At 38.3% G+C, this 26,347-nt stretch overlaps 2 protein-coding genes and 1 long non-coding RNA gene across 7 annotated transcripts in view, besides 1 other annotated feature; 2 read left to right on the forward strand and 1 right to left on the reverse strand.

Annotated features, from left to right (window-relative positions):
- Nucleotides 1-7,119, forward strand: part of APPL1 (adaptor protein, phosphotyrosine interacting with PH domain and leucine zipper 1) — a 45,743-nt gene extending 38,624 nt beyond the window's left edge. For both annotated transcript variants that reach the window (XM_011533583.4, NM_012096.3), the window contains 3 exons: nucleotides 1,390-1,440; nucleotides 2,046-2,135; nucleotides 3,189-7,119. In XM_011533583.4, coding sequence (XP_011531885.1) covers nucleotides 1,390-1,440; nucleotides 2,046-2,135; nucleotides 3,189-3,335 — 288 coding nt within the window. In that variant the 3' untranslated portion in view covers nucleotides 3,336-7,119. The remainder of the gene's footprint in view (nucleotides 1-1,389; nucleotides 1,441-2,045; nucleotides 2,136-3,188) is intronic.
- ASB14 (ankyrin repeat and SOCS box containing 14) lies at nucleotides 1,990-26,333 on the reverse strand. 4 transcript variants are annotated; one of them, NM_001142733.3, is made up of 11 exons: nucleotides 26,281-26,333; nucleotides 25,560-25,752; nucleotides 22,716-22,771; nucleotides 21,803-21,934; nucleotides 21,549-21,707; nucleotides 16,842-17,087; nucleotides 13,950-14,121; nucleotides 12,025-12,568; nucleotides 11,415-11,568; nucleotides 10,176-10,376; nucleotides 1,990-3,266 (listed from the first exon to the last, which is right to left on the reverse strand). In NM_001142733.3, the coding sequence occupies exons 2-10, from the start codon at nucleotides 25,679-25,681 to the stop codon at nucleotides 10,198-10,200; spliced, it is 1,764 nt and encodes a 587-aa protein (NP_001136205.2). In that variant the 5' UTR covers nucleotides 25,682-25,752; nucleotides 26,281-26,333; the 3' UTR covers nucleotides 1,990-3,266; nucleotides 10,176-10,197. The 4 variants fall into 4 exon arrangements, with proteins under 4 accessions (NP_001136205.2, NP_569058.1, XP_016861226.1 ...); XM_017005737.3 differs by lacking the exon at nucleotides 1,990-3,266 and having other exon boundaries at nucleotides 25,560-25,701; XM_017005736.3 differs by lacking the exon at nucleotides 1,990-3,266 and having other exon boundaries at nucleotides 25,560-25,755.
- LOC105377102 (uncharacterized) lies at nucleotides 3,214-11,775 on the forward strand. Its single transcript, NR_135535.1, has 3 exons — nucleotides 3,214-3,399; nucleotides 9,952-10,107; nucleotides 11,441-11,775. It is a non-coding gene; the product is annotated as an uncharacterized LOC105377102 (long non-coding RNA).
- Nucleotides 13,456-13,656: a silencer, noted in NCBI's record as "peak4664 fragment used in MPRA reporter construct". NCBI's record gives its function as "represses an SCP1 promoter by STARR-seq MPRAs in K562 erythroleukemia cells {active_cell/tissue: K562}" and the evidence as "EXISTENCE:reporter gene assay evidence [ECO:0000049][PMID:32103011]".
- Nucleotides 26,334-26,347: the final 14 nt, after the last annotated feature.

The raw sequence follows: 26,347 nt of genomic DNA on the forward strand, positions 1-26,347 counted from the left end.
TTATGGTTTGGATCTTGTTACTTGTTATTGGACTGTTCAGGTTTTGGATTTCTTCGTGGTTCAATCTTGGTAGGTTGTATTTGTCTAGGAATTTATCCATTTCTTCTTGATTTTCCAATTTACTAGCATGTAGTTGCTCATAGTAGCCACGAATGATCCTTTGAATTTATGCAGTATCAATTGTAATGTCACCTTTTTAATCTCCAATTTTATTTGAGTCTTCTTTTTCTTAGTCTGGCTAAATGTCAGTTTTATCTTTTCAAAGAAACCAACTTTTTGTTATGTTGATCTTTTGTATTGTTTTCTTCATGTCAGATTCATTTATTTCTGCTCTGATCCTTATAATTTCTTGTAGTATTTTTATAGTTTTGGGTCTTATGTTTAAGTCTTTAATGTATTTTGAGTTGATTTTTGTGTATGGTGAGAGGGAGGGGTCTGGTTTCATTCTTCTACATGTGGCTCTCCAATCTTGCCAGAACCATTTATTGAAGAGGATATCCCTTCCCCAGTGAAAGTTCTTTGTCACTTTTGTTAAAGATCAGTTGGCTGTAAACAAGTGGCTTCGTTCCTGGGTTCTCTATTCTGTTCCATTGGCCATGTGTCTTATTTTTATAACAATCCCCTGCTGTTTTGCTTACTATAGCCTTGTAATATATTTTGAAGTTAGGTAATGTGATGCCTCCAGCTTTGTTCTTTTTGTTTAAGATTGCTTTGGCTATTTGCATTGAACCTATAGATTGCTTTGGGCAATATGGTTATTTTAACTATATTATTCTGATCCATGAGCATGGGATGTTCTTTTGTGTCTTCAGTCTCTTTCATCAGTGTTTTGTAGTTTTTTGTGTAAATAAAATTCTTATATAATTCTAAGATTTTTGGAAAAAACTCCCAAATTTTGCCTAGGCTTACTGAGCTGCTTGAGCAAAGCATCTCTGAATAGAGCCAAGCTGATGGTTTGGGCCTTCTGACTCTACAGACCCATGTTTTCCCTGCCACTGATAGCTGGTGCAATCTTTTAGCCTCTCATTTATGTTGGGAACCAAACATTATGTTGGGAACCAAAACCAGCCATTTTCAGATGTCTTCAGCTGAGAATAGCATTAGCAGCTGCATGCTTCTTCCTCGTAGGCCTTACTGTGACAGTAATGAATTTGACATAACAAGAAGTGGGGTATATATGAAGGTGAGAGTCAGCAGTGGAATCCTGTAGACTTCAAGGAAAACATACAAAGCCTTGGTTTGGGGGCTTGAGCATTCTTAAATATGCTTTTGCTTGAAGCAATGTATTAGGATTAGTTATAAAACTAGTTCCATCAGTTATTTGGATACTTGACATTTTTGCTTTGTTGTGAGAACTGCCTGAATTTTTCATACTTTTTCTCTTTTTAGATATGTGATTCTGTTGGACTGGCAAAACAGATAGCTTTGCATGCTGAACTGGTAAGAATCCAAGATGTGGCTGGGCACAGTGGTTCACACCTGTAATCGCAGCACATTGGGAGGCCGAGGCGGGCAGATGACTTGAGGTCAGGAGTTCGAGACTAACCTGGCCAACATGGTGAAACCCCATTTCTACTAAAAATACAAAAATTAGTTGGGTGTGGTGTCGTGCACCTGTAATCCCAGCTACTGAGGAGGTCTGAGGCACGAGAATGACTTGAATCCGGGAGGCGGAGGTTGCAATGAGCCGAGATCACACCACTGCACTCCAGCCTGGGCAACAGAGCGAGACTGTATCTCAAAAAAAAAAAAGGAATCCAAGATGCTTGATTTTCCAAGAATGTTAACTAAAATAGTATATTAGCTCTTTCATATTAGCAAGTAAATAAAATGATTTTGCTAAGCAAGGTTAACAGTGATACTATTACCAACATAGCATTTAGAATTTGGATAATTGTTTACCATTGAATATAAACTGTTGATGTGCTTTCTTATGTATAAATGCAAAAAAATATTGAAAGGTTACCATGTGATATTAACTGAAATGTCTAAAATTTAAAGTTATTTCATATTTAATTCATTAGTTTTATTCATCTGTTCTTTAGGATCGTAGGGCATCAGAAAAACAAAAAGAAATAGAGAGAGTAAAAGAGAAGCAACAGAAAGAACTCAATAAACAAAAACAGATTGAAAAGGTATACAGTCCTAATGTCTGGATCTTTATGTGTTGTTTGTGAAGACTTAATTCAGCACTATGACTTTCAGATTTGAATTTCCAAATGAAGGGCTGTTTCTGCTTGTTCAGCCACTTCATAAACAGATGATTCATACCATAGCAGAAAAGGGTCACATCTGTTTTTTGATATGATGTTTACATTATAGTTACGTTGACATGTAATATGACTGTTTCAAAAATATACCAGAACTTTAATATTTCAGAGGAGGTTGTCTCTGTCAAAGCAGTTGAGAGGCTGTGTAGACTTAACTGCCATTGCTGAAAGCCATTTTGCCTTCTATGGGGGGGAAATAAATAAATATATATGTTATATGAAATATATAATGAAATGTATATTTTTAATATTGCCAGGAGTGTCAAATCATTGTCCATCCAACAGAATAATTTTAAAAGACAAATTTCAGAGCAAAACTTGAAGAATGCATTAAATGATCCATGAAATTGTAAGAGCGTGTTATGGGTTGTAGATTGACAGTAGGAATAGAAAAGAGGAGACAGCTGGGATGCTTAGAACAGATCAATAAGCATTGGCTGTGGGCTGGCTCTCTGGACAAAGAAGAGGGAAGTGGCAAAGATGACATTGAAGTGAGGCTTTCTTGATAGGCGAGGCTGAGGGAAGGTGACACCTGATTTAGCAAAGATGAATTGGACAGGGATGGAGAAAAGGGCTGGAGAGGGGAAGGGAAAGGAGTGTGGGGGTGATCCCTTTCGAGGGTTTTACTATAATATATAGTGAGAGATGATTGATGATGGGCTTTATTTGGTTGTTGGTCATAAAAAAAGAAAGATAAAATATTAGATTTTAGTTTGAATGCTGGCTTTTATAGGATGGTGCCAAAATTCATTTTGGTGTTGTATTGTTTGGGTGTAGCTTTTCTTTTTATCAAGTTGTCAGAAGTATGCATACATATTTATGACAGAAGAAGTGGCTCTCAAGAATGTATCTTAACTGCATAATTTGCCATTTGACTGCAGACAAGTAACTTAGTTTCTTTTTTGTCTTTTCCACTAGGACTTGGAAGAACAAAGTCGGTTGATAGCTGCTTCCAGTAGACCAAACCAAGCCAGTAGTGAGGGGCAGTTTGTTGTCCTTAGCAGTAGCCAGTCAGAAGAGAGTGATTTGGGAGAAGGAGGAAAGAAGAGAGAATCAGAAGCATAAGCTTATACTTTTGGTAGATATTCCCCCTTGGAATTTGACAGTTTCTATGGTGAAATGGCAGAAGGTAACAACTATGTTGAAATATCAAGGAGGAGATTAAGCTTTATATTTGCTTATTTGTTGTAGCTACATTTTAAAAAAAAGATTGAACTTGATGACTTAGGTTTGCATTGATCTTTTTTCCCCCTTAAACATAATGTACTATGTATTAACATCTAAAGGAAACCTGCTCATCTCCCTGAAGCAGACTGCTGAGGAATTACATTTGCTCAAGAATTTTTTCCGTCAAATTGTGAACTTTTAATTCTTGCATTGTAATTGGCTGTGTCCATAAGAAATCATTTATTCTTCAGGCTTAGACATTCATGGATATGCTTTTCTTTCATTAGGAACATTTTGCTGGTGATGAGGAAGCATTTAGCTGAATAAGTTTAAAGCCCTTTATACAGAGAATTCTACAAGTTTGCAAATATTTTAACAATATTAAATGTGCAATAGAACTTTTATAAAATAATTAGAACAGAGATTTTACAGTTAAGGTTTCAAATTGTGGCAGGTGGTACTGTTGATCTCAGGGTACTTTCTGGGATTGCTCACATTTCTCTAATGTACTGCACTTGATGCCAGTAGGAAAGAAGCTTAAGTGTCTTCAGTTCAAGATTGATAGAGCCCTTGGCATTTTATTATCACATTCTTAGTTCTCAGGTTGGGACTTCAATTACTGCTGCAGAGCAGTAGTGGTTAAAAATAAGATATTGGAATTTATTAAAAGATTTTTGTTCAATACATTTTAGATTAGGATTGACAAGTAAAGATACTGCTATGGAATGATACATTGTATTTTCTGCATTGTGTGAAATAGTTTTTATTGAAAGTCAAGTGACATTTCAAAAGAAGTTCTATAACAATTATGTTTCATGCTTAAAGTAAAAATTCCCAGAGTTTAGTTTAGAAAATGTAATCTTTTAAATTTCAGACTGATATATTCCCAGTATTTTCATAATGCCATGTTTTGATAAAGTACTGAATCACCACTTTATATCCACAAAGGCAAATAACTAATGTATGATAATAGAATAATTTGCACTAATTATTGTAAATATGTCTACTCTTCAAATGAGTAAAAGGTCCAATTTTGTGAAAGATTGAAAATGAATTGAATGCCTAGTAGAGTATAGGAGAAGTTGACCAAGGAAGGATTTAACCTGGTGCCAAGGTTAAAATAACATTTCTCTACTGCCTATTGTTTATGTTAAACCTTAATTTTTTTTCTGTAATCACTTTTAACACTGCTAATAGAAATTATGTTTTCATGTGTTTCACATGAAAAAGTATATATATACAAAGTTAATATAGTGGGTAAAATACTTTACATAGTCACACATTTACAAATTTTTCAAGAGGTTAGCCACTAAGACTTTAATAATTTTACAAGGGAAAAAGCCTTTTTTTTTCTTTGATATACAGTTTTTTCTTCTTAGTTCTGCATTAGAAATGGCATCTGTTTTAGGTCTCAAAATATAACTCAGCTGTTTCACACTGTATATGTACATTGTTTTCTGTAGGAATAGGATAATGATATATAGGATCATGATATTCCTTCTATCCATGTGCCAAATGGGTGTAATGTTTATTTACTGATGCTTTATGTTACCAAAACATACAGTAAAAAAGTAGAAATTTATGAAATACTTTTGATAAAAAGTTTATTTTGTGCTTACCAAAAGGAATGCTTTCACAATAGTGTATCAGTTCTTTTGTTTTGTTAAAGTTGGAATTTATTCTGTTGCCAGCATTTAAGTAGTCATGGCAAGTCCTGTTTTTAAGACCTTTTGGAGACTGGAGCTTTCTGTTCCATTAAGTCTTTTGTTTATACTACAAATTGTCACCTCACTTAGTTCAGATGAAATCTGTTACTCTACAAGGAAGGTGTTCATCATTAGGAGGCAGCTTTACTAAGCTGGTGCTTTGCATGGTAGCAAGTGCTGCCCTTTATCAGCACCCTGGGTCATAGTGTAGGCTAGAGTTAAGGCACTGGCAGACTTAGGGATGCTGGACAGACCTGTAGTTCGTTTTAAGTCATGTTCACAGGAATTTCTACAATAATAAACCCATCATCTCCATAGGTCAGATCGAAGTGCATTCCAATGCTAAATAGAAGTTATGAGTGGGTTTAACAATTTTAGATGATTCAGCTTTTGTTCCATTACTGTTGAACTATATGAACTATTCCATTACTGCAGAGATTTAAGTATCTGTTTTAATAAGCTCTTTTTGTTATTTAAAGGCTGCCCATGGGTTTCTGCCTAGTGGTAAAGCTGATTGTTACCCTCCTTTGAAATCCCTTCTAGTTCTGAGATGCTTTGAGGGTAACTGGATTCGATTTTGGGATATCTTTTCTCACATTCAGACTTACACTTAATGGTGTTAGAAATCAACAAAACTCCTTTTTAAAAAGAAAAGATATTAAGCCTGCCTACTTCTACAATGCATTCTGTTACCTATTTGAACAGTATGTTTGTAACTATGGCAATGAAGTCAGTAGATAGGAAACCAGTTATTCCTTCTACCTTTAAAAATTTTGAGAACTTGCCAACCAGGGATTAAAGCTATTATCTTGAACAGAGTCCCTAAAGCTAGTCTAGTTTTTGCCACATCTGCAATGATTATTGTTTAATTTCAAAAGAATCCTCAGGCTCTACAATCTAGGGGTGGTAAATGTGTTTCCACTATACTTGGGAAAAGGTCAGTAGGATGTGCATCCTAGGGAAGATAAAATCGTATATGGTAAAGGCATTTGAGTTAATTTTGCATTATATCTAGGAACCATATTATTTAAAATTTGAATCCTATTAATGCTGAGAGATCCTAAGAGCTAGTATGTTGTAAAACCTGCCACCTGAATAAAATGAAAAAAAAAGTGTTTTTTTGAGACAGAGTCTTGCTCTGTTGCCCAGGCTGGAGTGCAGTGGTGTGATCTTGGGTCACTGCAAACTCCGCCTCCCAGGTTCACGCCATTCTCCTGCCTCAGCCTCCCGAGTAGCTGGGACCACAGGGGCCCACCACCGCGCCCGGCTAATTTTTTGTATTTTTAGTAGAGACGGGGTTTCACCGTGTTAGCCAGGATGTTCTCGATCTCCTGACCTCATGATCCGCCCGCCTCGGCCTCCCAAAGTGCTGGGATTACAGGCGTGAGCCACCGTGCCCGGCCCTAAAATGAAATTATTAATGTTGGTTCTGAAACAGCCTCTTAGCATTCAGATTGTATTTTAAATACTTAAACACACCAATTGTAGAAAGCAACCCTTTATTTTTAGCAAGTTTGGTTTACTCTTCTCCCATGAGATTTTGTCTTTCTACATTAACTAGTAAGACATAAAGATTTGAAACTGGAACTATATTATACTTTTTAACCAATCTCTGTGGCTTCACTCATGAAATTTACTTCAGTTAATATGAGACTGGGGGTTAAGTTGTAACTAATATGCAAAATTGCTTTGTATATTTGGTGATTTTGTAATGTAAGTGAATTGATTCTTATTTCACTGATACTATTAATCATGCAGTGTACAATTCAAAATCATGCAATGTTTCACTTTAGAATTGGATTTGAAGAACTCGACTTTATGTGATCATGGTATTGGTATACATGTGGGGTGGAGAACTTATTTTTTCATTTTGTCACAATAGGTATATACTGACAAGGCTTCAGGAAAAAAGTTGTTAGAAGATTTTTTAATGTATAATAAAGTCCATGATTTTTGTACAGTGTTTTTTAATGAAATATTTGATACTCTGAACTTTATTTCTCAAAGTAATTTCAGATGTTTGTAAAACAATGGACTTCTTAAGCTGTTATGACATTATAAATTATACAGCTAGCCCAACTATAATTCCACAGCAGCTAAAATGAAAAAAAAAAGTCACTTTATTGGGAAAAGTTTGTTATAGAAGCAAACTAATCGATCACTGGTGACTGTTTTTCTTTTAGCAAAGGAAAAAGACTTCATTAATTGACGTATACTTGCTACTGTTTGGTCCTACTTACAGAAATTCCTCTAATTTACAGGGGCAGGTTATTGTGCATACCACAGTATAGCTTGGATTTGTAATTTCAATACTAATGCATATTCATCCCATGTGCTCTTTATAGTTTCTTATGTCAATTAGTTACTTTCTTCTGGGATTTAGTGTTTTGTCTTGGATTTTATAGAAATGTATATATACTTTTAGAAGGTACAGGGAATAGATGAAATTAACTTTAGAATTATATAATTTATCTGATATAAGTGCATGTATAGCCTAAATATATTTCTATATTGAAAGATATAATCTACCACTCACTTACCAGTTTGATTTAAAAAATAACTATTCATGTCAGCTATATAAATTTTTTAATGTAAAAAAACTATAAAAATAATTTAAAGTCTGTGCTTACTGAAATAGTCTATATAGCCATTAATCCCTACACTAGAAAAAAAATCATATAGCTTCAGTTTCCCTAGAATGGACTATCTAATTCTTTTAAAAAGTACCAAGACTAAACATGTAAACATCAAGGCCATAGCTGACTGGGCTGTAGTGAAAATGGACGATATCATTCTACCTGTTTTCCCTGTTGATATGGCTTCTAAATGTGACACAAGTATGGTTGAATGAATGTCTTTTTCAGTTTCTTTCCTCACTTTCCACACATAGAAATGTATACTTACAGGCCTGGCACACTGGCTCATGCCTGTAATCCCAGCACTTTGGGAGGCCAAGGCAGGCAGATCACTTAAGGTCAGGAGGTCGAGACAGCCTGACCAACATGGTGAAACCCCATCTCATCTCTACTAAAAATACAAAAATTAGCTGGGTGTGGTGGCACACTCTTGTGATTCCAGCTACTCGGGAGGCTGAGACATGAGAATCTCTGGAACCCAGGAGGCAGAGGTTGCAGTGAGCTGAGATTGCACCACCACACTCCAGCCTGGGTGACAGGGCGAGACTCCATCTCAGAAAAAGGAACCTATACTTACATGCAGTTTGAAATATACAGAAATAAAAATTTAACGTAACTGCCATCGGTGAGCCTCTTCATGTCCATTATCAGGCTAGGTTCAATACAGAAACCATAAGCCATCATTCATTTGAAAACACTTGTAATTCCAATTCCAGTGATCACATTAACCGGTAAATGGTCAGCCATAGCCAGGATTTTGTGGAAAGAAGGGACACACATTTCTCAATATTGAAATTTCAATTGAGGGTTCTATTTCAATTAAATGAATTACCCTACCTCTGTACTTGACTCTACAAAGAAACAGTAATAGACACTAAGCTGGTATTGGGACTTTCCCACAAGAACAGCAAACTCCTGAGTCATGTACTGGGGTAAGTATATATTCAGTCCAATCACTGAAATGTACAGTAGGCCCCTTATCGCTGGTTTCCCTTTGTGTGGTTTCAGTTACCTGCGGCCCAAAACTATTAAAAGGAGGCTGGGCACGGTGGCTCATGCCTGTAATCCCAGCATTTTGGGAGGCCAAGGCGGGCGGATCACCTGAGGGTCAGGAGTTCAAGACCAGCCTGGCCAACATGATGAAACCCCGTTTCTACTAAAAATACAAAAATTAGCCGGGCATGGTGGTGTACACCTGTAATCCCAGCTACTCGGGAGGCTGAGGCACAAGAATCGCTTGAACCCGGGAGGCAGAGATTGCAGTGAGCTGAGATCATGCCACCGCAGTCCAGTCTGGGTGACAGGACAAGACTCCATCTCAAAAAAAAAAAAAAAAAAGTATTAAGATGAAAATCTCAGAAATACATAATTTATGAGTTTTAAATTGCACACCATTCTGAGTAACATGATGAAGTCTCTCACCATCCTGCCTTGTCCCACCTGGGACCTGAGTCATCCCTCTGTCCAGTGTATCCACACTGTAGGGCATGCATGTACAGTTGTATGTTGCTTAACAACTGGCTTAAAGATGTGGATACCTACTGAGAGATGTGTTTTTAGGTGATTTTGTCATTGTGCAAACATAGAATCACTTATACAAACCTAGATGGGATGGTATACTACACACTAGGCCATGTGTTATATAGCCTGTTGCTCCCGGGCTACAAGCCTGTACAGCATGTTACTGTACTGAATAGGCAATTATATAGTAAATATATATTTAAACATAGAAAAGGTACAGTAAAAATAAGCATTATAATCTTTATGGGACCACCATTACATATGTAGTCCAATGATGACTGAAACATTGTATGATACGTAACTGTAGGAAAAAATACAGTATGTTTAGGGTTCTGTACTAACCCCGGTTTCAGGCTTCCACTGAGGGTCTTGGAACGTATCCTCTGAAGATAAGGGAGACTACTGTATTATATATACTTCTCTATAAAAAAGATACTGCAGTGAGTTATCTTGACTTGTCAGAAGTGGCATCTATTCTTTTGAGCACATAGACATTGGATTTATACACTTAATTAAAACTGGTGTATTTCAGTTAATTGAAATTTTTACTATTTGGGTTTTTTTTTTTTTAACTGCCTAGAGAATGCTAGTCATTTATATGTTGAGAGGCTATGTTCAAAGCTACTTTAAAAAATTTTTTTTTTCTTTTAGAGATGGGGTCTTGCTCCGGTCACCTAGGCTGGAGTGCAGTGGCGTGATCACAGCTCACTGCAGCCTTGACCTCCCAAGGTGAAGCAATCCTCCTGCCTCAGCCTCCCAAGCAGAGCTACTTTTTAAAGGACTTAGACTGCATTGAGATTTTAGTTGGTGGGTAAAGCAAAAAATATGAATCATACATAAGTGAAATTTTAAGGAATACAGCTGCAAAATTATACCTTTTCCATTAGAATGGTTTGATTACCAGGTTCCTGTAAAAATTCCTTGTCCATAAAGGTCGTATTCTTTGTAAAGGACATATGCTTTTAGACGATTGGGTAATGGAAGAAATGACATGAAGACAGGGCAGCGCAAATGTAACCGTCCCATGCATTTCCGGATCTTTAGGCGGCACAAATGTTTTAGGGAGCGAGGGTTTGCTAAAAAGAAAAGGCACATTATCCAAAGAGAAAAAGAACTTTTTTTTTAGTATCTTAGGGTTTTGTTAGCAAACGTATTTGATAGCATTTCATTTGCTGTTACTAAATGGCAAAGTCAATAGGGAAACAGTTTTTCAGTTCTTATTGCAATCCTTGTTGTAGATATGGTTCCAGAGCCATGTCAAGTTAGAATCCAAAGACTGGCATCAATCATGGATCTGGCCTGTGAGATCTGAAGTTCTTAAATCTGCATGTGGCCAGGCGGGGTGGCTCATGCCTGTAATCCCAGCACTCTGGGAGGCCGAGGCAGGTGGATCATTTGAAGCCAGGAGTTCGAGACCAGCCTGGCCAACATGGTGAAACCCCGTCTCTATTAAAAATACAAAAATTAGCTGGGCGTGGTGACTGCATGCCTGTAATCTCAGCTACTCGTGAGACTGAGGCAGGAGAATCGCTTGAACCCAGGAGGCAGAGGTTGCAGTGAGCTGTGATTGCACCACTGCACTCCAGCCTGGTTGACACAGACTCTGTCTCAAAAAAAAAAAAAAAAAATCTGTGTGTTTTAGCCCCCTCAGGGACAGGGTAGAAACTGAAGATTACCACCCAAAGGGAAATAACATGAAATAAATTATTAATTTGTCTTACGTGCTACTTTGAAAGAATTTGCTTTGAAGAAGGTCATTTTGATACCCTCTACAGACATGGCTCTTAGCTTTTTCTCATCCTTGTTTTTATTGCCATATGATATTAGCTTTTCATTCCGGTGTCCATGGTGTTGTTTCCATGATTTAGGTGGATTGGGATGAAAGTATTACCTATCTATATAATAAGTAGTTACCTAACAGATTTTGTCTCCTTGGAAAAGGTAATAAATACAAATTAAGTGTAGTTAGTAACATTTTTAAAGATAGGAATAGTATTTTTCTGGTTTAAGTCAAGCTTTTAACCAGAAGAGAAGGGTGTTCTAATTCTAAAACAACCAAATAAGAATACAATTAGTACTTTTGTAAAAAGTCATTCTATGAGAAGGATACTTACTTAAGATAAAATGTATTTCTGACCAGATCCCCTGTTTTTGGAGCACAGCTTTCAACTTTGAACAGATCCGAACTTGATCAACATAATCAAGCATCACTCGAACAACCTTTCCAGAGAGATGTTGCAGCCATGACAAAGTTATTACTTCACAGAACTGAGGGAAACAAAATCAGAATTAGGAAAGTAAATGAAAAACACAAAGTATCTATGGTTTAGCATAGTAGTCAAAGGAGATGTGGTGTGATGAAAGCCAAGAGAGAAAAATGTCTCAAAAATGGGAAGGGATGGTAGTGGTCAACTGTACTTATCCTGATTCTTTTTTTCATCAGAAATAAGATCAAAATAAATCATTTAATCAGTTGCTTCGTTTATGAAACTTCCTCACACTGCTAGGCAGAGTTAAATCACTTTTACCTCTGTACTGTTTTTGTTCCTGTTGTATCTTTCTACTATTGTGTTTATTTTATCATAATTATTTTATCATATAATTATTATACTAGGATCTCTTCAACCAAGCCTCTGGAGAGAGTGGATGTAATCTATTTATTGCCATAGTTCCAGGGCCACAAATAATGACTGTAAGGGAATACAGCCAATACTGTGGACTTACCTTAGTATCTTTGATAACTGTAGATGTCCAGCCTTCAACAGTATAGGAAGGATGGACTTTGTCTCCATGTGGGCAATCAAAACATCGCTCTGTGTCATACCCATAGTTCAGCAGCATCCTGAGCATGACTTCATCTTTCAGAGTGTATTGCAGTGCTGATGGGAAATGTAAAGGGTTAACTCTGCAGAAGTAATTGACATTGGCCCCATGCCTTAGCAGCAGACTGATCAGCTCATAGTTGCCCATCCTGAGGGCTATCTGGAGGCAGTTAACCGGGTCTTGATTAGGCAGAGCTCCAGCACTCAGAAGCAGCTTGACTGAAGAGAGGTCACTGTTTGATACAGCAAAATACAAAGCTGACTTCCTGTGGTCATCGTAGTGTTTGTTAATTCTCTGATCCAGCATGAAGTTCACATCAAATCCAGCCTGGATGAGGAGTTCCAGGCACTGAGGATGTGCTCCTGCTGCTGCACAGTGAACTGGACTGATCCCACTCTGCTTAATGGCAGCAAGATCCGTAACTGGAATCAGTATCTTTAGAGCTCTGAGAAAGAATTTCAAAATGCATTTCAACATTGTTTTTAAGATGTAGCACTAACTTGTTTATTATTGTTTTATAGCAATACTAGATAGTATCAGTATTCAGGGGGCATTTAGAACCCACAACCAAAAAAAAAAGCATAATTCCTTCATCCAGAAGCTCAGATACCAAGTAAAATTGAATGGAATTACCGTCTAAGCTATAAAATTCAGAATTAGCTCAGAGGCCTGAGGCTTCCCATATTGTCTAAGTACCTGAGAAAAAAGTTTTATATCTCTTCGGTGGCTTCAGAGGATGCCTGGTTAAACAGCCATTTCTAGTTCTTCCTAGTTGGTCAAGAGTTTTTCTTTTTTTTTTTTTTTTTTTTTTTTTTTTGAGACGGAGTTTCCTCTTGTTGCCCAAGCTGGAGTGCAGTGGCGCAATCTTGGCTCACTGCAACCTCTGCCTCCTGGGTTCAAGCAATTCTCCTAAGAGTTTCTCATCTTTAAAAGGTATGTTTAGGGCTGGGGGTGGTGGCTCAAGCCTGTAATCCCAGCACTTTGGGAGGCCGAGGAGGGCGGATCACGAGGTTAAGAGATTGAGACCATCCTGGCCAACATGGTGAAACCCCATCTCTACTAAAAATACAAAAATTAGCTGGTGTGGTGGTGCCCACCTGTAGTCCCAGCTACTCAGGAGGCTGAGGCAGGAGAATTGCTTGAACCCGGGAGGCGGAGGTTGCGGTCAGCCGAGATCATGCCACTGCACTCCAGCCTGGCTGCAGGAGTTCAGTCAGCGTGGTGGGAAATATTATTAAAATTATAGAAAGAAGCACACCTTCTTGGAAGGCCGGGAGGTTTTGCAAAAGCTTCAGGAAAGGATTTGGCTGAAGGCAGCTGAATTCTCTCAGAGTAGGTTACAAGGAAGTGTAAGGGAATTGATCTAGATAAGTTAGTTTACTTAGGCCTCAGAACTGGCCTTTAATCATCCACATGTAGGACTGTTCTGGCAGCGGGGGTTGGGGGGGAACCGTGTTAATTACTCACACGATGTGCTGACTCAAAGCCTTTGTCATTAAACCTGTACTAAATAAATGCCTGAAGCACCAGCTTGTCAGGGCCATGGCTGCTACAACTCTTTCTTTGAGCAGCCTGGTCCCCTAGCCCACTCTTTCACTGGATACCTATGTCTAAGTACTTTCATCTGTCACTTGGCCAGGGTCTATGGTTCAGACCCAGCACCTGGCGACAGAGGGAGACAGCATCTCAAAAAAAAAAAAAAAAAAAAAAAGTATGTTTAGATTGTGGGATCAGTGATTAAAGATTATAAAGTTCCTAGAAGCAGCACAAAATAAAAGGTAGCTATTACTGTTTTTATTATTTATAATAATGTAATTGAACTTAACAGTAAGTGGCCCCTGTCAGCTGCCACATGGATGGGCAGGTGGCCTGAATTCTTAGGGATGTTGGCATCAGCTCCATACTCCAGCAAGAGAGCCACAGCATCTGGATTTCCTCCACTTGCGGCTTCAAGTAAGATGGAAGAAGAATCAGAGGCCTGACCATGAGCATTAGCTCCTAAGAGGAGAAAGACTCTTGTTAATGCAAAAATTATTTTCCACTGTATTTCTTGAGCAATCTTAAAAATATATCCCCATCACCAAAAAGCAATTAGTGAGCACGCACTCTAGCAAAGCACCAAGAATCAAAGTAACAGAATATATACCTCCTGCTCTCAAGTAACTTATAAACTAGTTGGGGAAGAAAAAAATGGCAGTTTCTAAATTATAAGTAGGTTAGTTTTTGAAGTAATTTGATGTCCATTTGTTTGGAACTTGAAAATTCCAGTAGAAATACTGTTATAAAAGTTGCTTTTATTTCTAGACCAGCCTATAAAAGCCCACTTAACTCATAACACACATATAGGATGGTACTAACAAATCTATCAAACTATAATACCATGCCATCTAATGATACTGTTTTGGTGGAAAAGGGCATTTGTTCTGTTTTAGCTTGTTCGTAGGGGACCATAGTAGGAGACACTGTAACTGTTTTTAATTGAGGTTAGGAACTGCCAATAGCCAAAGAGGTAAGTTGTTGTAGTTATTAGTACAGAGTATCCCTTATCCAAAATGCTTGGGACCAGAAGTGTTTCATATTTCAGGGTTTTTAAAAAAAATATTTGCACTACACTTACAAGTTGCATTATACTTACAAGTCCCAAATCCAGAAATCCGAAATCTGAAATGCTCCAGTAGGAATTTCTTTTGAGCATCATGTTGATGTTCAAAAAGTTTCAGATTTTGGAAGATTCTGGATTTCAGATTTTCAGATTAAGAATGCTTAACTTACACCCTGTATGTTAAGTGTTATGTGAGTGATGTGAATAATAAGAGTACAGGGACAGGCAAAAGGTCTTCTAGAAGATCTAGGGCTGGGGTTGTAAGGGGGGCTGGGGTTGTAAGGGGAGCTGGGAGGTGAAGGAAGGAGAAAAGAGTTTGGGTCAGTTGTGGAAGTGTTCCCAGTAAAATGGGCTCTGAAGAAAGAGTAGCATTTGAATGGACAAAAGTTACGGAGAGCATTCTGAAGCTCATATAAAAAAGATGTAGTGACTTTAATTTAACACAGACTCCATAAGAGTCATCAGGGTCCAGTGGCTGCCCAAGAACCCCATTCCAAGAATGCCTTAGAAGTCCAATAAGCCTCTGCTTATTGAGTGCCCACTATGTGCTGGTTCCATTATGTGTATAATAATTTTTAAACTTTGTAACAACCCCCAGCAGTAGGTGCTTAACATACTCATTTTAAAGATGAAGAAACTCATTGAGTTTCAGTGACTTCCCCAAAGATGCACACCTAGTAAGCAAGGTAGTCAGGATTCATATACAGTTATTCTAGACCCAGGGCTTATATCTATGATGCCATGTTGCCACTCTAGCAATGCAGGGTGATAATGTGATTTGGAATCAGATGAACCTTGAAATACTGGCTCTGTGATGTACCATCTGTGTCACTTGGTGCAAATTACTTTGTAAGGAGTCACTTAAAGGAAATGCTTACTCACTGAGGTCAACTGATACTGGTTTCTTTGCAGGGTAAAGGATTTAACATCTGTTGCTTCTTTCTCTGTATTTTAATCAATGATCTATACAAAAGGTTACTCTTTCCTCGTAGATGAAAGATTCCAATGTTTATTTTTGTTATTCCAGCTAATGACTTTAGACATTTCTTATATTGATCATTTAAAACATCTTACTTAAAATGTCTTATGGCCATTGATTAGCAACTAGCCTCCCCTATATGACAGGAAAGATTTAGATAATGTCTAAAAAGCACAAGGTTGTTTTTAAATATGAGTCTCTGCCATCTAGAATACTGGAGACCAGGACTGTGTATTGTTAAAGAACAAAATAATACTTCTAGACAGGGAGGAGAATAAAGATAATTCTATTATTGAGACTTTTAAAAATCTTGGTAAAAATTTGCTTTTTTGAAAAAAAGCTTTAGATTGATCCTACCTTGCTTCATCTAACAGTGTCATCAATGAGCTCTCCTCGAAGACAGTAAAGGCCAAAGTTCTCTGAGCCAAGGGTCCCTGCTAGTTAAGCCAGGATTCAAAATGCCCACAGCTACAGAGCTGGGGATAGGGGAGGGGGCATGTTTGAAGGGAAGTCCTGCAGCTGGTACCATGGCTGACCCTCACTTTCCTCAAGTATAAAATTAGGATAATACCTACCTCACAGAGTTTTTAAAGGGTTATGAGGCAACATGGGTAGTTTAATGCTTTTGCTTAGATAGTACCCAATAAGTTTAAGTTGCTTTCCCCTTCCCTTGGAGTTTTGGTTATTACTAGAGTGAAAAACTGGGACCCAAAGAGAAGAAATCAGGAATAATTTCCTAACATCTAAAGCCATTTGGTAACAGATTAAACTGCCTCATGATTTGGACTTAGGCAGAGGTAATGTGCAGAGTATGTTGCAGGGTGTTTGATTTTATGATTCTAGAAAAGGACAACACCACAAAAAGGTTAAAAAACCATCATCATCTTAGCACAGTGAGGGAATGTTAAGTAAACGTAACCTGCATCCTAGTAACTTTAGGGAAATTATGTCAGACCTAATAAAAAATTCAGTCTTTATGTTAGGCTTCTCAGTAATCACTATTAACCCATAATTTTTATCAAACATTTATATTAGGCTTAAATGTTAACTTTTATTATTTTGAAGCTCTCCATTAAGAGGAGAACCCCTGGATCATGTTACCCTTTGTTAGTGTGCTGACCAAACAGAAGATCTTGCCTTTCCGCAGTAACATTTCCATGATTTCAGTGTGTCCACTTTGGGCAGCAAGAGCAAGAGGAGTGAATCCATACGTGCTCTGTGGGTCAGGGTGTGCCCCAGAAACCAGCATAAGCTTCACCATGTCCTCTCTGCCCAGTTTGGCTGCTTCGTGGAGAGCTGTCCTCTCGTTGGCACAACGCAGATTGACATCTGCTCCATAGTTGATCAGCAAGGCAGCCATGTCATAGCAGTCACGCAGCACAGCTGGGAAATGAGAAGTGTGGTGGGCATGTTCAACGGGAAGTTAAGCCCAAAGTAGCATATCTGCAAGTATCCCTCAGGCTTTCTTAAGGAGTTCTTCCCACCCACTCCCAGACCCGAACATTCTGTGTTTAGGAAACAGATTGTAAAGTAAGGCATGTGTCAAATAATACTTACTGAGAATGTTTTACATCAATGGACTATGTTTTTCTGTAAGCCATGAGTAATTATTCATTGCTTATGTGGTTGAAACACAAATGTAAACTTTTCACTTATCTTTATTCTTCAAGAAAATGGGAACTTAATTATTCAGTATAGTCCTGGAAATGTTTGTAGCTGCTTTAAAATAAGAAAAAAAACAAACAAAAGACAGCCCAGACTCTGAAACATGCCAAAAATTAAAAAAAAAACAAAAACAAAAACAGAATCTACCCCCAGAAAATGAATGACTAAAACACAATTTAAATATGCATATCTGGTGGGAGTGGTTGAGGCCATAGAAAATGATAGTTTTGGCCTATCATTTCTGCATTACCACACTTTGGCAACACACCAAAGTATGTTGTATAGAAAGCCCCTTAAGTTTCTGTAAGGAAATGTAAAGAAAATGATTTTGTAGTTAAAAAAATAATAATAAAAGGCTTGGGAACACTGTGTATGTGTGTGTGTGTGTGTGTGTGTGTGTGTGTATGTATGTAAATATATATATATTTAGGCTCTCATTCTGTCATCCAGGCTGAAGTGCAGTGGTACGATCATAGCTCCCTGCAGCCTTGAACTGCTGGGCTCAGTCAATCCTCCTGCCTTAGCCTCCCAAGAAGCTGGGTCTACAGGCATATGCCACCATGCCTGGCTAATTTCTTTAAAAATTTCTGTAGAGATGCAGTCTTGGTATGTTGCCCAGGCTGGTCTTAAACCCCTGGGTTCAAGTGATCTTCCTGCCTCAGCCTCCCAAAGGCTGGGATTACTGGCGTGAGCCACTAATCTCAGCCAGCACTATATATTCTATCACCCTCTTCAAGATTCACTTTGTACATTGGTATATTGAAGTCTCTGAGGAATCTTGCAATGCATTTGCTTAACTTTTTAACCCGGCATTTTCCATGACCTATCAATAGGGACATGCTGTTTAGGTGCCACAGAAATGGAATCATTTGACCTACCAGATAGGCTGAAGTGAAGAGAGGAAAACTAGCTCTACCGTTGTTACAACAGGCTTCACAGCCTCACGGTTTTTACATATGTGATTTTTCTACGCACAAGACAAGTACTATCTTATAGACAAGGAAACAGGTTTAGAGAGGTTAGATCTGACCCAGAGTTCTTTTCACTATACAGTGCTAGGGTGCTTTATGGTTTATGCGTGCTTTCTCAGAGAAGGCTTTTCTGCTCAGTGTTTTCTGTATAAAATGCAAAGCGTTAGCATCTTGGGACAAACCATGAAGGGACCCCAAATCCTAATTTTTGGCAGTACTCTGTTGGTCTCTCTTTAATTTTCAGTGTTGTTTTTTTTTTTTTTTTGAGACAGAGTATTGCTCTGTCACCCAGGCTGGAGTGCAGTGGCGCAATCTTGGCTCACTGCAACCTCGTCTCTCCCTGGTTCAAGCGATTCTCCTGCCTCAGCCTCCCTAGTAGCTGGGATTACAGGTGCCTGCCACCAAGCTCTGCTAATTTTTGTATTTTTAGTAGAGACAGGGTTTCACCATGTTGGTCAGGCTGGTCTCAAACTCCTGATCTCAGGTGACCGGCCGGCCTCGGCCTCCCAAAGTGCTGGGATTACAGGTGTGAACTACCGTGCACAGCCTAATTTTCAGCTTTTATTTTGATAAAAGTTATACATGTACAGAACTTAAAGAGCCAATTACTGTGAAGTCCATCACTCTTTCCCTACAATCTTTTTCCTTCTCCAGAGGGATCCTTTAGCTGATTCTTTGCTCTTCATGCCCGTGTCTCTAAGTAACCTGCTTGTATTGATACTTGTTGATTTTTGGTTTTGGTATAATTTAATGACTTCTTACCATAGAAAATGAGGATTTAACTTTTTTTCCTCCTGTCCCCACCACATGTGCACATTTCTCGTCCCACCATCCTAATATTTTTGTAGCATAATTTTTGTTAAATATTTAATATTTACCTTCATGTATGTCATTCAAAGGTAGGCCATATTTACATTTCCTTTTATGCACATCTTTTTGTTTTCCCTGGAGTTAATACTTGTCTTATGTTTCATTTGCTTAGTTTCCAATTTATCATTAATTCCACCCCAAACTCTCTAAACTGTCTACATCTCCCTTCAAGATGTCATTCCTAGCCCACCATGGTCTTGAAGAAGCCTCTACCTGGGGCCTCCTGACCTGTTCCAATCTGGACCTCAGTGCCTGGTCATGTTTGGTCATCCTAAGATCGTTATTCCCCTCATCTTAGGGATCTCATTTGCCTCCCACCTGGCTTGGATCTTCTGTTTTCTGGATGCCAAACTTTTGTTTTTCTGCTTTACTCCGATGTTGGTAGAACATTTGCTCCGTTAGCTTCCTAACAGTAGGGAACAAGAAAGTTTTTGAGATTTCCTATGTCTGAAAATATCTTTTATGTCTTTAATCTACTGTCAGATTTGAGAGTTGGAGCAAATATAGAATTTTAAGTTGGAAGTATTTTTTCCTCAGAATCTGTAAAACTATTATTCACCACCAATTACTTCAAGCTTCTAGTTACCATTGAGATGTCTGAAACCATTCTGATTTTTCATCTTTTGTATATTATGTATTCCTTTTTTTCTCTCAGGAAGTCTGTGGAAACTTCTTTCCACAGTGACTTGTGAGTCTTCCCTAGTGACTTGTCTTTTTTTTTTTCAGCTTTTTATGATTTTTTATTATAATTTAAAAGAGGCTATGTAAGTAGAAAAGTTTAATTCCACCTCTGAGATGATCTTTAACATTTTCACATGTATCCTTGAATTATTTATTTCTACATGTTACATTTTAAAGAACTTTTTGTTACACAAAATTCTCTAATAATTGGCTTTTCTGCATTTATAGTATGAACTCACATTTAGAGAAGAATACTTAGACCCCCAAGATCCTAAAACATCTAACTTTATCCATCTCGCTATTCAATCACTAATTATTGGCATCAAATGTGTACGAGGAGCCTTGCTAGCTGCTGAGGTGCTGAATCAGTATGAATTCTGCTAATAACCATTTATAATTTGCCACAGAAAGTTCTCTCATTGCTCTAAGACTAAGACTAGAAACAAAGTGCCGAGGGTATTGGGTCTTTTACGGTTCATTGAGCTGGCACTTAGTGTGGCCCTTTATTCTGGAAACACTTGTCCTTCATTTTAGGAAATCATTTTCTTGACTTATTGCATTGGCCATATACCACCTCCATCTTGTCTGTTCTCTCATTCCTCTTATTCACATGTTGCTACTCTTGGATCATCCAACTAATTTTCACTTCTTTCCTATTTTCCATTTCTTATTTTCTTCTTCTGGAAGCTTTCCTGAACTCCATCTTCCAGCATTGTTTTGGTTTTTAAAATATCTGCTCATATTTTTAATTTTCAAGAATATTTTGTTTTCTAATTTTGCTAACATCTTGTTCTTATTAAAATGGTTTCTCTGAGGAAGTTAATGACAATTTCCCTTTAAATTTTAGTTTTCCTAAATAATCTTAAAGTTGCTTAACTCTATTTGTTGAAGATTTTCCTCAGATAGCCTTTGGCTATTTGCTCATAATTAAAAATTGGAGACTAAAAAGCTGGTTGGAAATTTTAAGCAGAGAGTGGGGCTTGTGGACTGTAGGTTTAACAACAGGTTGATATGTTTGGGCCACTTATTGGGAAAGCCCCAGTGTCACTATCTTTAGCTCTTTCTTCTTGGGCTGGTCAGATTCCTCCAGAGAACCCCCGGCAGCCTGGAGGGTAAGGGCCTGGCTGCCAGCCTTCTAGGAGGAGGGCTGGGCAGTCTCAATTATGTTTGCTTAATTCCTCCAGTGTTTTCAATCTAGTACTCCACCCTCACCTAAAATTCCGTGGTCCAGAGACTCTCTGTTTAAGCTAGGCAGAGAATAAACCTCCAGGATTCTGCTGGGGTTGGGCAGGAATGATCTAGAGATCTGACTATCTGCTTCTTAATAGTTTTCAACCAACTCTTCTGTTTCAGCTGCCTGCCCTTCACCCCTGCTCCATGAGGTAATTCTGCTCCCCTCTGATTTTTTGTATCAGAATTAACTGGCTTGATGAAGGTACCATGCGAAATGAGCTGCTCTTAACTGGGCAGAGGTTTTGCATCAGGCCACCTCACAGGCCAGCCTATGGAAAGCTTCTGGAGGGTCGGTACCCATGTCTGGTCAGTTGGGAACAGAGTGACAGTGCTGCAACTATGCATAAAAAGCTGCCTTTGAAACCTGGGGGCATGAAGGAGACTCAGTGCCACAGACTCTTTCAGAAACAATGTATTCATTTACCTGCAAGAAGAGGAGAATTGCCTTCGAAATTCTTAGCATTTGGATTGCAGCCATTGAGAAGAAGAAAAGTGGCATTTTCTAAGAGGCAACTGCTGACAGCCAAAAAAAGTGGCGTTTCACCATTGTGAGTGGTTTGCTCCCACAGACTGGGGTCTGAAGCTGAAATAAATTCATCATACCACACAAATTAAGATATAGAAATGAATGTTAAATTTATCTCTCAGAAGCATCAAGAAGAATCAAAGGGAATTTACCGCTTAGGGTTATTTCCAAAATTTTCCTATTTAATTGCACTGCAGCCTTATGCAGAGGAATCCAGCCTATCTCATCTGCTTCACCAAATGCGGAATGGTACTTGGTTAAGTGTGACAATGCATCTTCCTTACCTATTAACGAGTCAAATGAGAACAGATTCACATTTGGCACACTTACAAGGAAGCCCATATTGCTTCCTGAATTCTACCACCAAAGTTAATGCATAAGACAACAGAATTCTAGCACCACCTTTTATGAAAGACAAATGGCATATGACAGACAGTAAGGCCGGTCATGTAGCGTTCCGCACCTGGGCATGTGAACACCCCCAGCGTCTTGTTATTTACAAAAAACAGCTCTGTCTAGGAAGGAACCCAGGAGCTCTTTGCTTCATTGAGCTGAAGTATTTTCTCCCAGAAAAGCCTACATCAGACTCTTGACAATCAGCTGTGGACCCCTGTAGTGTTCAGCTCAATGAAGCAAAGAGCTCCTGCTTCTAGGCTTCCTGAGCTTCGAGGGGAAATGCTGCCAGCCATCACCATCATATCTTTCCTTTTTTTTTTTTTTTTTTTTTTGTGAGACGGAGTCTCGCTCTGTTGCCCAGACTGGAGTGTGGTGGCGCAATCTCGGTTTACTGCATCCTCCATCTCCTGGGTTCAAGCAATTCTCCTACCCCACCCTCCCGAGTAGCTGGGATTACAGGCGCCCGCCACCATGCCCGGCTAATTTTTTGCATTTTTAGTAGAGACAGGGGGTTTCACCATGTTGGCCAGGCTGGTCTCGAACTCCTGACCTCAGGCGATCCACCCACCTTGGCCTCCCAAAGTACTGGGATTACAGGCGTGAGCCACTGCATCCAGCCAATGTCACCGTCACATCTTACCACAAGTTAAAGGGGATAGGAGTACTTAACTTTCTCTATTGTTTCAACTATCTTCTTATAGTCAGCGCTCAAAAAGGAATGCAAACTGCAAAGAAAAAAATACATATGTAATTCCAAAACTGAGGAGAAAAAACTGTTATCTGATATAAATCAAAAGGAAAGGGTAATGGTAGCAGTAGTTAATCCGGGATGAACTTTCATAGGAGGCAATGACTGAGGCATAATAGAAATACTTCTATTTGTAAAATGTAATGTGGCCCTTAACAAAATTCTAGGGAAGCTCCCTAACTCTATCTGTCTTCCGCATTAGCCTGTTAGCTTCTTTAGGGCAAGGACTATGTGAGCCTGGATTGCAGTAGGCCCTTAATCAGCGTTGGCTGAACTGAATCAAGCCTGCCTATGACTGAAATGTCACACTATCTCATGGTAAAATTTGATGGCCATTATAGAATGTCAACGATTCTAGCAGAAACTATTTTAAAAAATAGTAAATAAAAATGGTGTCAGTATTAAAAAATATTCACAGTCAGAATGTGTGCTCAGAAATACTATTAGCAGTTAAGTAATGTTTTTATTATTTAAGGCTTTAAATCTCAATTTATGAAACTTATTTTAAAACCTAGCAAATAAGGATTGTCACCTTCCATTCTTTTTTTTTTTTTTTTTTTTTTTGAGATGGAGTCTGTCTCTGTCGCCCAGACTGGAGTGCAGTGGTGCGATCTCAGCTCACTGCAGAGTAGCTGGGACTACAGGTGCCCACCATCACGGCCGGCTAATTTTTTGTATTTTTAGTAGAGATGGGGTTTTACTGTGTTAGCCAGGATGATCTCGATCTCCTGACCTCGTGATCTGCTCGCCTCGGCCTCCCAAAGTGCGGGGATTACAGGCATGAGCCACCACACCCGGCCACCTTCCACTCTAATTATTTAACGAACCCAGGTTGAGGAGAATAAATTCCCTCGGACACTCTGTCCTGTTTACAATTTGGTCAATTACATTATCTTAAACATTTAAACCTGCATTCATAGATTTAGTATTGTGTTAGTTTTCTATAGCTGCTGTAAGAAGTAACCACACACTTAGTGGCTTAAAACAACAATAATAAAACAAATTTATTATCTTACAGTTTAGTAGTTCAGAAATCCAAAACAGTCCTCACCGGACTGAAATCAAGATGTCAGCAGGGCTCTGTTCCTTCTGGAGGCTCTTGGGGAGACTCTATCTCTGCCTTTTCTAGCTTCTAGAAGCCACCCACATTTCTTGGCTGGTGGACTCTCTGCCTCCATCTTCAAAGCCAGCATTGTTGGGCTTAGTCCTTTTAACACTGCCATCTCCCAAGTTGTCTCTCCTGGCTCCCCCTCTTTCACACTTAAAGATCCTGTGTTACACTGGGACCACCTGGGTAATCCAGAGTACACCCCCTATCTAAAAGTCAGCTGATTAGCAGCCATAATTCCATCTGTAGCCTTACTTCTCCTTTGCCATGTAAGGTTCCAGAAATTAGGACATCTTTGGATGGGACCATTACTCCACATGTCACAAGTATGTTCTAGTTTTCTAATTCCTTCAAGTACCTGACTAAATCAGCAAGCCTGCCTAAGTATCATACACTTCCTGCAAATCTAATCAAGTAAATGCATAACCACAGTCAATTTCAGTTTCTCTGAAACATTTCAATACTCTCCTTAGCCCAACTCTCTTATACCTTTCAACCTAAAATTGTAAGTTCAAAGTCAGTTACTCAATTATGCAATTTAAGGTTTTAATCATAAGGTTAATATAACAGATAATCTAATAAGGCTAATTTCTTTACAAAACTTTAAATATTTAAAGATTATTTTAAAAACTAATCCTAAATTGAACACAAAAGTATAGGAATAGTGTGTGGCTAAGAGCACAGACTTTAGAATCAGACTGCCTTGCTCTTCACTTACTAGTTCTGTGACCTTGGGTAAGCCACTTAACTTTTCTGTGCCTCACTTTCCTCCTCTCTAAGTAGGGATAATAATAGGACCTACCTCATAGAGAGGTAATGAGAATTAGAATTTAAAAGTTAGTATTTATGAAGTGCTTAAAATAACATGACACATAGTGATCACTCCATGGTTTGTTACATTTTAAAAATACTATATAGGTTTGATGTACTTCATTGTCTCTATTTAGTTATGAAATCTCTTGGGGTTAAAAGACATTTTTCTAGTTTTACATCCAGCAGGCAAATAGAGATTACCATCCCAAGTAAACTGGGTTATCACCCCTGAAAAAATGATGGTTACTGCCTCAGGAGACCAAGGTTGCTGATTGGCCAGCGAGCGTGTGAGCAGGTGTGCCATATCCAGGACGATTCTTCTTACACCCCACACAGGGTCCCACTGGTCCTTTTTCAGTGTTGTCCAACAAAACTCTGAATCTACACTTTCAGAAGCCTTGTTCAAGTTTATGTAATTCCTCCTTTTGATTTGAGTAGATCAAAGACTGGACCCCATCCCCACCTACCCTACTAAGGTTGAAGATAACTAACTTTCTATGTGTCCCGGTTGGATTTATGCATTTCTTCAATTCCCAAAGACAAGATGTATTAGTTTTTCTCTAGCCCTTCATATCCTCCTTTCTTTCTTCTGATTTCCAGTCTGTATCACCTCACCCAGATTTGCTGCTAACCTCCTTCAGATATTTTTATTGCCTAATTAAATTCTGAATTATTTCCAGATTATTCCTGTCTAGTTAGGCATAATATCTTACAGATATTTAATTGACAGCTCCTTGGATTCTGACCCTCCTGTTTTTGTCACAACACTAGAGTTAAGCTAATGACAAGTGTCAGCTGTTGAATACAACACTTAATACTATATTGCCGATGAGAAAACCATTACCTCTCATCCTTAGGTGCATGTTGTGCTGTTCCTGGCTTATAAATATCCTGCAAACTCTGTTGAATGATGAGCTGGGTGTCAAAGTCTTCATCTATGTCTTCATCGCTGGTGTAATTATCCATGTGAAACGTGGACAGGTTTACTTTAAAGTCAGAGTGAATTAAAAGTATTTTTCCAGTTGTGAAGAGATCAACTGCTTAAAATTACAAATGAAATTCAGAAATCTAGAAAATTGGTAGGATTAACAATGAAAAATATACAAAATTTAGGAAACAAAATATTCACTAAAAAATTTCTATAAACTTAAAAAAGTTTTGTGGACTGCCACAGATTCAACAAAAATTAGAAGTTTCCATGAGTAGCCATTGACTTAAAGCTTATTCAGGAAAAACCACCTTTCAAATAAGACTTCGGTTAGTGCCACTCTAACACTGACAACACTCTGATCTGTTCAACTTGGCTGTGAGTCTTTCACAGTGATTGTAGCACTCATCCAAAATAATATCTTTCCTACACACAGTGTGATGCTGAAAATAATATTTTACTTAATATACATTAAAAATAAACATGTTATAGGAACAAATGTATTCTCATAATTACAACATGGATACAGCAGTAGTAAAAACAAATGTATCTTACTAGGCAATATCTAAATGGTTTTAAAAGAAAAATGTCAGTTTTAGCATAGAATACATTTGGTCACATTTCAAAGACTTTTTACCTTTTGTTTTATCCTCTAGGACAGCAGTGAAGTTTTCACTGTTAAGGACTAACACATGTAAGCCTCA

This window comes from Homo sapiens, chromosome 3 (genome assembly GCF_000001405.40).
Source record: "Homo sapiens chromosome 3, GRCh38.p14 Primary Assembly".
NCBI lineage: Eukaryota > Metazoa > Chordata > Mammalia > Primates > Hominidae > Homo > Homo sapiens.